We start from the raw sequence: 14586 nt of genomic DNA, 5'->3' as shown, positions 1-14586 counted from the left end.
TTTTATAAATATATATACACACACACACATATAAAGGAGGAAAATGTATATATATATATACACACATACACATATGTATATATATTTTCCTCCTTTCTTTTTATTTATTTTATTTTATCTTATTTTTGAGACAGGTTCTGGCTCTGTTGCCTAGGCTGGAGTGTAGTGGTGTGATCTCTGCTCTCTGCAACCTCTGCCTTCCGGGCTCAGGCGATTCTTGTGCTTCAGCCTCCTGAATAGCTGAAATTACAGGCTTGTGCCACCACGCTCAGCTAATTTTTTTCTATTTTTTTGTAGAGATGGGGTTTCATTATGTTGCCCAGGCTGGTCTCAAATCTCTGAGCTCAAGTGATCTGCCCACCTCAGCCTCCCAAAGTGCTAGGATTACAGGTGTCAGCCACCACGCCTAGCCCCCGATTTTTCCTCCTGTCTAATGTATGAGTTTAGTGCCATGCATTTTCTTCTTAGCACTGCTTTAGTTGTGTCTCACAAATTTTCACACATTATATTTTCATTTTCATGCAGTTCCATTTAAAAAATTTCCCTTGAGAGTTCCTCTTTTGACCCTAGGATTGTTTAGAAGTGTATTTAGTTTTCAAGTGTTTGGAGATTTCCCTGTTATCTTTCTGTTAATGATTTCTGGTTTTATTCCATTGTGGTTGGTGAATATATGCTGTATGATTTCAGTTTTTTAAAAATTTATCGAGGTTCATTTTATGGCCCAGGATATGGTGTATCTTGGTATAATGTTCCATGGGTGCTTGAAAAGAACGTGTATTCTGCTGCTGTGAGGTGGAGTGTTCTTCTATAAATGTCAATTAGATCCTGTTGGTTACTGGTGTTTTTGAGTTCTTCTATATTTTGATTTTGAGTTTTTTTTTTTTTTTTTTTTGAGATGGAGTCTTGCTCTGTCACCCAGGCTGGAGTGCAGTGGCGCAGTCTCGGCTCACTGCAACCTCCGCCTCCTAGGTTCAAGCAATTCTCCCACCTCAGCCTCCCGAGTAGCTGGGATTACAGGTGCCTGCCACCACACCTGGCTAAATTTTGTATTTTTAGTAGAGATGGGGTTTCACCATGTTGGCCAGGCTGGTCTCCAACTCCTGACCTCAAATAATCTGCCTGCCTCGGTCTCCCAAAGTGCTGGGATTACAGGCATGAGCCACCACTCCCGGCCTATATTTTGATTTTCTATATAGCTGTTCTATCAATTGTTGAGAGAAATGTTGAAGTCTCCAACTATAATTGTGGATTTGTCTGTTTCTCCTTTCAGCTCTATCAGTTTTGCTTCATATATTTGTACAGCTCTGTTGTTTGGTGCATACGAATTTAGAATTGTGTGTATCTTTGTATTCTTGGTAGATTGACCCTTTATCATTCTGCAGTATCCATTTCTAGACCTGGTGATTTGCTTTGAAGTACTTTATCTGTTATTAACGTAGCTATACTTTGTTAACTTAGAATTAATTAAGATGTTTGAGTCTTTTTTCATCTTTTTACTGTCAACTTACATATATTATTATATCTGAGATGAGTTTCTTGTAAATGACATATTGTGTCATATATTTTTTTTAAATCCTTTCTCCCAATCTGTCTTCTGATATATTTAAACTATTTACATTTAAGGTAATTATTGATTCATTAGGGCTTAAGTCTGCCATTTTATTGTTTGTTTTTCTGATTTTTTTTCTCTTTTTTTACCACTTGCTTACCTCCAGGTTACTTGAACTTTAAAAAAAAAATCCATTTTGATTTATCAATTGTGTTTTTAAACGTATTTCTTTTGTATAGTTTTCTTTTAGTATTTTATCTAAGTATTCATTATGTACATATAACTTACCATGGTCTCCTGGTGAAGTATAGTAAAGTATAGAAAGCGTGCCTCCTTTTGGCCAGGTGCGGTGGCTCATGTCTGTAATCCTAGCACTTTGGGAGGCTGAGGCAGGTGGAGCATTTGAGGTCAGGAGTTGGAAACCAGCTTGGCCAACATGGTGAAACCCCTATCTTTACTAAAAATATAAAAATTAGCCGGGTGTGGTGGTGCATGCCTGTAGTCTCAACTACTCAGGAGGCTGAGACAGGAGAATCACTTGAGCCCGGGAGGCGGAGCTTGCAGTGAGCTGAGATCACACCACTGTACTCCAGCCTGGGCAACAGAGCAAGACTCTGTCTCAAGAGAAAACAAAGAGAGAGAGAAAGAAAGAAAGAAAGAATGCTTGCTTCCTTTTAAGTCTCTTTATCCTCTCCCACTTATAATTGTCTTAAATATTTCCTTTACGAATATTGATAACCACATTAGGCAATATTGCAATTTTTGCTTCAACCATCAAACATTTAGAATACTCAAGAAGAGAATGAAAGCTTATTGTATTGACTATAGTTTTACTCTCCCCATTGTTCTTTCTTCTTTCCTGATGTTCTAAGATTCCTTCTTTCATTATTTCCTTTCTGTTGTAAAGTCTTCTTTTAACCATTCTTTTTCTTTTTCTTTTCTTTTGAGATGGAGTTTCGCTCTTGTTGCCCAGGCTAGAGAGCAATGGTGCAATCTGGGCTCACCGTAACCTCCGCTTCCCGTGTTCAAGCGATTCTCCTGCCTCAGCCTCCTGAGTAGCTGGGATTACAGGCGTGTGCCACCACGCCAAGCTTATTTCTGTATTTTTAGTAGAGACGGGGTTTCACCATGTTGGTCAGGCTATTTTTGAACTCCTGACCTCAAGTGATCCACCCGTCACTGCCTCCCAAAGTGCTGGGATTACAGGCATGAGGCACCGCGCTCGGCCCTTTTAACCATTCTTTTAGGAAGTAGGTATCTGGGGGTGATGAACTCTCTTAGCTTTCCTTCAGTAGAGAATGTCTTAATTTTTCCTTTATTCCTGAAGGATATTTTCACTGGATGTAGAATTCTTCACATAAAACTTCTAGACACAAAACAGTTCTCAAAACAATATTCGAAAATATTGTGCCACTTCTGCCTGGCCCCATGGGGCTTCCACTGACACCATGGGTAGGGGAACCTCCTTACCACAGAGAGATGGAGGGAGTTCCAGCTTCCCACTCGGCCTTCTCTGACCACCTCCAGGCAGGGAGGAAGAGGGGTGCCTCGTTCTCACTTGGTTTTGGTGAAAGTCCTGGCTCTCCACCAGGCCTCCTCTGCCACTGTCCCAGCAGGGAGGGAGAGAGCATCCTAACCTTTGGATGGATGTGGTTCCCCAAGTGGCCTCCACTGACTTTGCAGGGGCTGGGCCTCATTGCCACTGAATGGAGATAAAAGTGCCAGCCTTCCACTTAGGCTTCTCTGACACCACCCTGGCAGAAGAAGGGGCCGCCTCTTTACAGCTGTGCGAGGGTGGAAGTCCAGGCTCCCACTCAGCTTTTCCACCATTTGTTTACTCTGTGGAGTTTGGCTGCACTAGAGTGATTATTGGCTAAAAGTTTCTGTCTTGCTAGGCTGCTCCTTTCCTGGTCGCTTGACTAGAGAGCAGCCCTTCTTGGGGCTTCTCTTGTCTGTGTCCATTGTTGTATTAAGTTGTCAGCTTCTCCAGGATCCAGTTAAGATACAATTAAGGCAAAATTAAAACCCAGAGGCTGGGTGTCATGGCTCACACCTGAATCTCAGCACTTTGGGAGGCTGAGGTGGGAGGAGCGCTTGAGCCCAGAAGTTCGAGACCATCCTAGGCAACATAGTGAGACCTCATCACTACAAAAAAAATGGGCACCGTGGCTCGCGCCTGAAGTCCCAGCACTTTGGGAAGCCGAGGCAGGTGGATCACCTGAGGTCAAGAGTTTGAGACCAGCCTGGGCAACATGGTGAAACCCTGTATCTCTAAAAAACTATATAAAAAATTAGCCAGGCGTGGTGGCAGGCCCCTGTGATCTCAGCCACTCAGGAGGCTGAGGCAGGATAATTGCTTGAACCCAGGAGGCAGAGGCTGCAATGAGCCAAGATCATGTGCCATTGCACTCTAGCCTGGGCAACAAGAGCGAAACTACATCTCAAAAAATAAAGAAATACATACATACATAAAAATTAAAATGTATTAGCTGGTTATGGTGGCACATGCCTGTGGTCCCAGCTCCTGGGTAGGCTGAGGTGGGAGAATTGCTTGAGTCCAGAAAGTTGAGGCTATAGCGAGCCATGATTACACCACTGCACTCCAGCCTGGACAAAAGAATGAGACCCTGCCTCAAAAAAAGAAAAGAAAAAGAAAACTCAGAGAACTCCCGCTGTGTCTTTCCCTGGGTCCCAAGTTCCCCAGCCAGTCTCCTTTCCCCTCAACCTTTCAGAGTCTTCTTATGTTTATTATATATGATATTCAAGAGTTTTTAGCTTTACATAATGGGAAGAATAGGAATAAATGTGTCTACTCCATTTTGTGTAGAACCAGAAGCTGTGGGAATCATTGTTCTTATTAACACTTATCTCCTGGAAGAGCATTCCATGCTCATGGATAGGAAGAATCAATATCGTGAAAATTGCTATACTGCCCAAGATAATTTATAGATTCAATGCCATCCCCATCAAGCTACCAATGACTTTCTTCACAGAATTGGAAAAAACTACTTTAAAGTTCATATGGAACCAAAAAAGAGCCCGCATTGCCAAGGCAATCCTAAGCCAAAAGAACAAAGCTGGAGGCATCATGCTACCTGACTTCAAACTGTATTACAAGGCTACAGTAACCAAAACAGCAGGGTACTGGTACTGGTACCAAAACAGAGATATAGACCAATGGAACAGAACAGAGCCCTCAGAAATAATACCGCACATCTACAACCATCTGATCTTTGACAAACCTGACAAAAACAAGAAATGGGGAAAGGATTCCCTATTTAATAAATGGTGCTGGGAAAACTGGCTAGCCATATGGAGAAGGCTAGCCATATGGAGAAAGCTGAAACTGGATCCCTTCCTTACACCTTATACAAAAATTAATTCAAGATGGATTAAAGACTTAAATGTTAGACCTAAAACCATAAAAACCCTAGAAGAAAACCTAGGCAATACCATTCAGGACATAGGCATGGGCAAGGACTTCATGTCTAAAACACCAAAAGCAATGGCAACAAAAGCTAAAATTGACAAATAGGATCTAATTAAACTAAAGAGGCTCTGCACAGCAAAAGAAACTACCATCAGAGTGAACAGGCAACCTACAGAATGGGAGAAAATTTTTACAATCTACCCATCTGACAAAGGGCTAATATCCAGAATCTACAAAGAACTTGAACAAATTTACAAGAAAAAATCAAACAACCCCATCAAAAAGTGGGCAGAGGATATGAACAGACACTTCTCAAAAGAAGACATTTATGCAGCCAACAGACACATGAAAAAATGCTCATCATCACTGGCCGTCAGAGAAATGCAAATCAAAACCACAATGAGACACCATCTCACACCAGTTAGAATGGCAATCACTAAAAAGTCAGGAAACAACAGGTGCTGGAGAGGATGTGGAGAAATAGGAACACTTTTACACTGTTGGTGGGACTGTAAACTAGTTCAACCAATTTGGAAGACAGTGTGGCGATTCCTCAAGGATCTAAAACTAGAAATACCATTTGACCCAGCCATCCCATTACTGGGTATATACCCAAAGGATTATAAATCATGCTGCTATAAAGCCACATGCACACGTATGTTTATTGAGGCACTATTCACAATAGCAAAGACCTGGAATCAACCCAAATGTCCATCAATGATAGGCTGGATTAAGAAAATGTGGCACATATACACCATGGAATACTATGCAGCCATAAAAAAGGATGAGTTCATGTCCTTTGTGGGGACATGGATGAAGCTGGAAACCATCATTCTGAGCAAACTATCGCAAGGACAGAAAACCAAACACCGCATGTTCTCACTCATAGATGGGAATTGAACAATGAGAACACTTGGACACAGGGTGGGGAACATTACATTGGACATTACTTGGACACAGGATGGGGCCTGTTGTGGGGTGGGGGGAGGGGAGAGGGATAGCATTAGGAGATATACCTAATGTAAATGATGAGTTAATGGGTGCAGCACACCAACATGGCACATGTATACATATGTAACAAAGCTGCACGTTGTGCACATGTACCCTAGAACTTAAAGTATAATAATAAAAAAAGAATAAAGATTGTGTCTTACAGACTAAAAAATAATAATAAAAAAACACAAAACTTATCTCCTTTGGGCAAAAAAAAGAAAAAAACCTTATCATATTGGGTTATATTCAAGCAACCTCTTTAAGAGTTTGCCGCATTTTCTAAACTGTAAATTCTTAGAATGAAAGAACTGCGTTTTATTTGTCTTCATATCCCTAGTTCTTAACAGAGTAGGGACTCAATACATTATTTTTTAAATTGTGTTGTAGTATGTTATTAAGTATTCATTACTTACCCAAAGGAAGTTGGGAATTTGTGCAGATACCGACAAGTTACCACTAGAGGGCAGCAGCAACAACTCTTTACAAAGGGCTCTGAAGCCTGCATGCCACTCCGGAATTAAACCTTTCCCAAGAACTGCCTATCCTTAGTTTTCATAAGACAAGCAGAAGCCTGGGAACTGATTGTAGTTGAGCCTCCCAGGGAGACAAAGGACTCTGGGTGACTGACAGGCTGCACCTGGAACACTGGGGCCCCATTCTTTTGGAGAAAGATGCTTCTCCCTCTTCCCTGTAAAGGGAAGAGAATTCACATATTTCCAGCATCTGGTGGGACAGTCATGATGTGCTGGGTTCTCCTCATAGTGGTTCTGCAAGGCGGGCATTATTTCTTCTTCTTCTTTTTTTTCTTTTTGAGATGGAGTTTCACTCTTGTTGCCCAGACTGAAGTGCAATGGCACGATCTCGGCTCACCACAACCTCCGCCTCCTGGGTTCAAGTGATTCTCCTGCCTCAGCCTCCCGAGCAGCTGGGATTACAGGCATGTGCCACCACGCCCGGCTAATTTTGTATTTTTAGTAGAGACGGGGGTTTCTCCATGTTGGTCAGGCTGGTCTCGAACTCCCGACCTCAGGTGATCCGCCCGCCTCGGCCTCCCAAAGTGCTGGGATTACAGGTGTGAGCCACCACACCCGGGCTATTTCCTCCCTTTTACACATGAGGAACTGAGGCTCAGAGGACCTCTCATAGCCAGTAAGAGGGAGTGCTGAAGTTATGACCCGGGCCTGACTGATCCCAGTCTCTTTCCAGTAGTCTACACTGCTTCCCCCAGGAGATGCAAGGACAGCCTCTGCCCTGATACAGTAGAGAGGAGAAGGGAGTTCCTTGGGCAATGGAGGGCCCAGCGTTGTGGCGGTAGAGAGCCAGGCTAGGGGACATGCGCAGAGGAAGCTGCATCCCAGCCCTCCCTGCCCCACACCCTGCAGCCTCTGAGCCCTGAGCCCTGGGGCGGGTCTCCTGGGGACATGGATTTTCCTCTACATCATCCATTCTGCACAGAGTCTTAGGACTCCAGTGGTACCTGGTGGTCTCTGGGGGAAGCCATCCCTTTGTGGCAGTATTTGTGGGCATGAAGAGACAGGGTTGGCCCTGAGCCACCTTTCTTTAATGCAGTGATGATCTACTCTGTGTTTAAGAGTTGTGTGATCTGTGGCCAGTGCAAAGTGAAAATGCAGGACCTCTTGTTTAAAAATTAAGAATTTCAAGATGGCAACATCAGAGCAAGAAACAAAGCACAGGTGCCTGCGAAGCATGCGAGCCTGTGCCATGATACACGTCACATGACCATGAAACCAGCCATGTCTGGGGCACTATTTCTAATTATGACATGATAACAGTGTCCATCTTTTAGGCACGTACTTTGCGCTATAGTCTGTCACTTTAAATATTTTATTTCTTTTAAGCTTTCTAGGGCTGTTTTTCCCCGCTGTGTGTTTTTATCCCTACAATGAGGAGGTTGGACTAGACCAGTTGTTCTTAACTCTAGTTACACATTAGAAGTACCTACGGACATTAAGAAAATACCCAAAGCTGGCCCCATCCCCAGAAATTCTAATTAAACTGGACTGGGGGAGGGGTCTGGGCATGTGAGTAAACGGCTCCCTTGTTCTAAGACTCTAGTTTCTATTTGAGGGTGATGATGACAAAAATATCCTTCCCCTCCTTTGAAAAAGCAGCTGAGGGATCTGGACCACTCTTGCTGCAGTTGGGCAGGGAGTCTTGAGGTCTCAGGTCTGTGAAGTTTTGCTGACAGTCACACGATGAATATGTGTCCCTGGTGGGTCTAGCTAAGGGGCAGGTCTCCTGGGGACATGGATTTTTCTCTACAGCATCCACTCTGCCCAGGGTCTACTCCAGTGGTACCTGGTGGTCTCTGGGGGAAGCCATCCATTTGTGGCAGTATTTCTGGGCATGAAGAGACAGGAGCGGCGTTCCTTCTGTTTCTGGGATCTTCCAGCTTGCCTAGCTTCCTTTGTAAAGCCAGAGCAATTTGTGAAAAGCTGTTATAGAGAAGAAAGCAACAGGAAAATAAAGTTGACCACACACTTTCTGAGTCCCTGGCATTGTGCTGAGGAGCGTTTGTATTTGATCCTCCAAAAACTCTTCCGGATGAGTCTTTTTTTAGGTCTCCGTTTTTATAGCTCAGAAAGGATACGTTGCTAGGCATCACACAGCTGATGAAGTGGTCCCTCTACTGACTGCGAGGCAGGGGCCAGGACTGTGGTTCAGAGAGGCTGTGGAGGTGGACTGGGGTATAGAAGTGGTCAGAGAGGTGCCCTGTCCTCTATCTGACCCCTGCTAGCCTGAGGCCTCGGACCCTATGCTCTTCCTCATGCTCCACCCCCTCCTACCCCAGCAGTACTCCCTGGCCAAACAGTGTCTACAGGCCAGTGTAATCCCAGACCGTTGTGGGACTGGCCCTCCTTTTTCTAGCCAGGGGAGCTGAGCCGTGGCTACAGCCAGTGAGTTGCGGCCCAGGCCTGTCTTATCAGGACTGCACAGAGCCCAGAAACCCCTCACCTGTGAGAATGATCTGGAACACTGGGTCCATTCACCGATCCGGGAACCCAAGGACAAAAGGCAGGTCCCCTGGGGAGGCCGCCCAGTCTCCTCATGGGAGCCCGTCAGGAGATGGGGCTAACACAGACTCAGGCTGAAACTCTGTATAAAATCGAACACCTTCTCTGAATCCTAGTTACGCTGCAAAGAACCAGAGTGTGGCAGCCAGGGTGGGAGCAGGCCACACCCTGATGGCCATCAGCCTCTGGCTCCCCTCAATGGGGGTTAGCCTCACTTTTGAGGAAGGAGCTCAAATTCCCCTCACCACAAACACAATACTCAGAGGGGCTTATAGAGGTTCAGGGGAGCTGTGAGGTCCCGGGTGAAGGAATGAGAAGGAATGGAGACCTCAGTTTGAGTTTCGGGGAGCGAGCAGGATTGCAACCTTCCTAATAGAGCCTTGGCCAGAGCAGAGGGGAGGGCTACAGCTGAGGCCCCACCCTCCTAGGAAGCCACACCATCCCCTTCAGGACTGTGGACCTGCAGTTTCACAACCCTGAGCTGGGCTAAACCAGTGAGACCTGGACCAGCTAATGGGAGCATGAGCAAAGATTTCTATCACACTGTGAATTCTAGGGCTGCCAAGTGGTTTAGGAGTAAAGGGCTGGAGGATCCATTTTGAATTCATTCTTCAAAAGTGTAGGGTCAAATGAAAAGTGTTTCCTGAGATGAAACTATGATATGGGTTGGACGGTGGTGATGATCGCACAACATTGGGAGTATATTTCGTGTACAAGAATGTTTATAGCAACCTTATTCATAATAGCCCCAAACTGGAAACAGCCTAGATGTGCATCAATAATAGGAAAATGGGTAACAGTGCTAGAGTCACACAATGAAATACTACTCAGAATAAAAAAGATCAAACTACAGATACATGTGGTAACATAGGTGACTCTCAAAATCATTACGTTTAGTGAAGGAAGCCTTACACAAAAGAAAATGTTCGATATAATTCAATTTATATAAAGTTCCAGAACAGACAAATCTAACCTATGGAGGAAAAGAATTACAAGAGTGGCTTTGTCTGGTAGGTGGGGCAGGGATTGACTAGGAAGAGGCAGGAGGGAATGGTAATGGGGTTAGGTACTGCTCTATATCTTGGTAGGGATTGGGTTGCACCGGTTTATTCATTTGTCAAAATTTGGAAAAGTTTCACTTAAGATGCTGCATTTTTTTGCTTATGAATTTCACCTCAAAAAATTAAACAAGGCTGGCCGAGGTGGCTCACACCTATAATCCCAGCACTTTGGGAGGCCGAGGTGGGCGGATCATGAGGTCAGGAGTTCGAGACCAGCCTGGCCAACGGTGAAACCCCGTCTCTACTGAAAATACAAAAATTAGCCAGGTGTGGTGGCGTGCACCTGTAATCCCAGCTGCTCAAGAGGCTGAGGCAGGATAACTGCTTGAACCCGAGAGGCAGAGGTTACAGTCAGCTGAAATCATGCCATTGCACTGTAGCCTGGGCAACAGAGCAAGACTCCGTATCAAAAAAAAATAATAATAATAAATTAAACAATACTGAACCCTAGTTAATGAAAGGCATGCTGAAGTAATTAGGGGAAAGGGTGTCGATGTCTGCAATAGATTTTTGGATCCATAAAAAATAAAGTGGATTGATGGATGGATAGAGATGAGACGTAGCAAATGTAGTAAAAATTAATAGTACAATCTGGGTGATGGGTGTAGGAATTTTGACTGTAAAATCATTATGTTTAAAATTTTCTATTTAAAAATGCTGAGAAAAGATACATTGCTATATCATGGAGTAGCACGTAAAATTTATGTGACTTCCGTGCTAGAACAAGAGTGTTTCAGCAGACCCTTCAATAAGTTTGGCCTAAAGCACCTGCTGTTCCCCACAGTTACGTACCATTACTGATTTTTTTTCCTTTCTTTCTCTTGGGAAACAAATGAGCTAGCAAACTGTGCCTGATATGTGGTCTGTCTCTCTCTCTCTGTGGCCAGAAATTCTACCTGTTTGCTGTTTTAACAGACTCAAGAGGGCTGCCCACTGTACTTGTCTGAAAGCTGTAACCAAGTTATGGTTGGTTATTTGTATGTCACTAAGGCCCATAGTTTCTGCCTAAGGAAAAGTAATAAAATAGGTCAGATCACCTCTCCCCTTTAAAGCAGCTGCGTTAATGTGAGCAACATGGCTGAAGGTTGGCACGCAAAATTCTGTGTCCACATCCTAAGATTGAGATGAAATAAGTAGAGATCTAGACTCTTCAGAGTTTTTCTTGTTGTTGTTTTTTGTTTTGTTTTGGTTTTGGTTTTTAGAAACAGGGTATTGCTATATCGCCCAGGCTAGTCTCAAACTCCTGGGCTCAAGCAATCATCCTGCCTCAGTCTCTGAAGTAGATGGGACTATAAGTGCACACCACCACACCCGCTGGACTATTCAGACATTTGAAAGACACTATTGTATCCGTAGAAGCTGAAAAACCAGAGTGGTTATTATGTGAATATCTTGAGTATTGTCTTAGGCAGAGGATAAAGAGAAGAAAAGAAAACCCCTGTGACTGGAGTCTGCCCCTTGGTGGACTAACTCTTCTGACTCATCGTTTCATACCATAAAAAGTGGAACTACTGCCTTCCTGAATTGAATGCAACAAGGGTTTCAGACAATGAACTTCAAAGAAACACTGTGTTCCTTGTGGACTGCTTGGGGCATGCCCTTCGACCCCTGAGAGTTATCCTCACTCTCTCTTGTTCCTAGGGCCACTGTATTAGTTTCCCTGAACTGCCTTAACAAAGTCCCCAAGACTAAGTGGCCTAAAACAGCAGCAATTTATCCTCTCACAAGTCTAGAGGCTAGACATGAAATCAGTGTTGGCAGGGCCATGCTCACCCAATGGTACAGGAGAGACTCTCTCCCTGCCTTTTCTAGATTCTGTTGCTGGCCCTCCTAGTGTTTCTTGGCCTGTAGATGCATTGCTTCAGCCCCATGGCCAGCTTCTCCCTGTGTGTCTTCACATCCTCTTCCCTCTCTGCATGTCTTCTGTCTCTGTGTCAAATTCCCACTTTTTTTTTTTTTTTTGAGACAGAGTTTCACTCTTGTTGCCCAGGCTGGAGTGCAATGGCGCGATCTCGGCTCACTGCAACCTCTGCCTCCCGGGTTCAAGTGATTCTCCTGTCTCAGCCCCTCGAGTAGCTGCGATTACAGCGCATGCCAGCACGCCTGGCTGATTTTTGTATGTTTAATAGAGACAGGGTTTCATCATATTGGTCAGGCTGGTCTTGAACTCCTGACCTCAGGTGATCTGCCTGCCTCAGCCTCCCAAAGTGCTGGGATTACAGGGGTGAGCCACTGCGCCCAGCCTCCCACCCTTTTTTTTCTTCAACTTTTATTTTAAGTTCTGGGGTACATGTGCAGATTTGTTACACAGGTAAACATGTGCCGTGGTGGTTCGCTGCACAGATCAACCCATCACCTAGGGATTAAGTGAGCATCCATTAGCTATTCTTCCTGACGCTCTCCTTCCCCCATCCCTACCAACAGGCCTGAGTGTGTTGTTCCCTGCAACCCATGTGTCCATGTGTTCTCATCATTCAGCTCTCACTTAGAATTGTGATTATGTGGTGTTTGGCTTTCTGTTCCTGCATTAGTTTGCTAAGGATAACAGCTCCTAGCTCCATCTGTGTCCCTGCAAAGGATATGATCTCATTCCTTTTCAGGGCTGCATAGTATTCCATGGTGAATATGTACCACATTTTCTTTATCCAGTCTATAATTGATGGGCATCTGGGTTGATTCCATGTCTTTGCTTTTGTGAATAGTACTGCAATGAACATATGCATGTGTGTCTTTTTCAAATTCCCCTTTTCGTAAGGACACCAGTCATATTGGAGTAGAACCCACCCTGATGACCTCATTTTAATTTGATTACTTCTATAGAGGTCACCTCTACAGGTAGAGACTATTTCCAAATAAGGTCTCATTTATGAGTACTGTGGGTTAGGACTTGAGCTTCTCAGGGGGACACCATTCAACCATAACAGGCACTTTGGAAAAAAAAGATTTGAGGAGCTTTGCATTCATTATCTCATGTAATTGTTAGAATAATATTATGAGGTGCATTGTGGTTGTTTTTAACATCTGAGGAGACTAAGGTGGAGAAAGGCATTAGATGACTTGGTCACTATCACCACAGTGGACACTTACTGTCATAATGCACAGCATTCATCCTTTTCCTTTAGTGACGGCATCCTCATTTCCGTAAAGGTAGAAATTGCTTCCCCTCAAGTCCCTGGCTGTGCCCCCAAGCTCCTTCATCTCTAGCTTGTACATGTAAGCCATATTTAGACAGGATTGTTTGAGAAGGGCTGCCTATGGACATAAAAGTAAAATAATAAATTTTATACAGAAATGAGGGTATCCTGGTCATCATTTTGTTAGAGGCCCTCTTTATTCAGAAATAGCATCAAGATGAATATATTCCAATATTTTGATTTGCATTCAGAAATTCAGGTTGAGCCTGGCACAGTGGCTCACGCCTGTAATTCCAGCACTTTGGGAGGCTGAGGCAGGAGGATCACTTGGGCTCAGGAACTCAAGACCAGAAATCTAGTTTGTTTCTACTATTGTCCAGTGGAATACTGTATGCCCGAATTAATTGTTCAAGTGGGGAAAAAAGGCATCTTATAGTCTACTTGATTATTTTCAAAATAGAAATATTTTTTAAATCAGAAAATAAGAAATCAAGTAAATGCTATTATTTAAAAATTTCAGATGACACAGTTACAAATATCATCCAGAATTCTACTGCTATTAACATTTTGACGTATATATCTGTGTATGTAGCTATTCTTTTAAAATGGGAGCATAGTATGTTTATTATTTCATAATTTGACTTTTTAAACTTAAAATTATATTATTAGTAACTTTACATGCCAATGAGCAACTCCACATTATCCTATTTAAACAACAAGATGAATTGCTTGGAGAAAAATTCCTCCAGGTATAAAACCCAAACCTCGGCCAGGTGCAGTGACTCACGCCTGTAATCCCAGCACTTTGGGAGACTGAGGTGGGTGAATCACTTGAGGCCAGGAGTTTGAGACCATCTTGGCCAACATGGTGAAACCCTGCCTCTACTAAAAATACAAAAATTAGCTGGGCGTGGTGGTGTGGGCCTGTAGTCCCAGCTACTTGGGAGGCTGAGGCAGGAGAATTGCTTATGAGCGGAGGTTGCAGTGAGCCAAGATCGCACCATTGCACTCCAGCCTGGGAAACAAGGGCGAAGCTCCATCTCAAAAACAAAAAACAAAAAAACCCAATCCTCCTGTCCAGGCAGCAGGACCTGGTGGCAGTATCTCGGGGCTGCCTCCACCTCTGCCCTCTGGCCTCATCTTGGTCCCTTTCATCCTCCCTTACCCACCTAACCAGCCTTCATGCCCCTATGCAGTCACTCCAACATCAGCCAAGAATCTTACCTAGACTTTCTATACACTTATGGAAACACCCAACTTTATGTAAATAAACATCAACAGTGGCTTTACCAATTCCAAGTTTATTTTTTTCGCTTAGCAAGAGGTTTGAAGGAAGGCGATCCAGTGTGGGAGCAGCATTTCCACAATGTCCTGAATGTTTCAG

The sequence above is a fragment of the Homo sapiens genome, chromosome 15 (assembly GCF_000001405.40).
Source record: "Homo sapiens chromosome 15, GRCh38.p14 Primary Assembly".
Classification (NCBI taxonomy): domain Eukaryota; kingdom Metazoa; phylum Chordata; class Mammalia; order Primates; family Hominidae; genus Homo; species Homo sapiens.
This window is presented reverse-complemented; position numbering follows the sequence as displayed.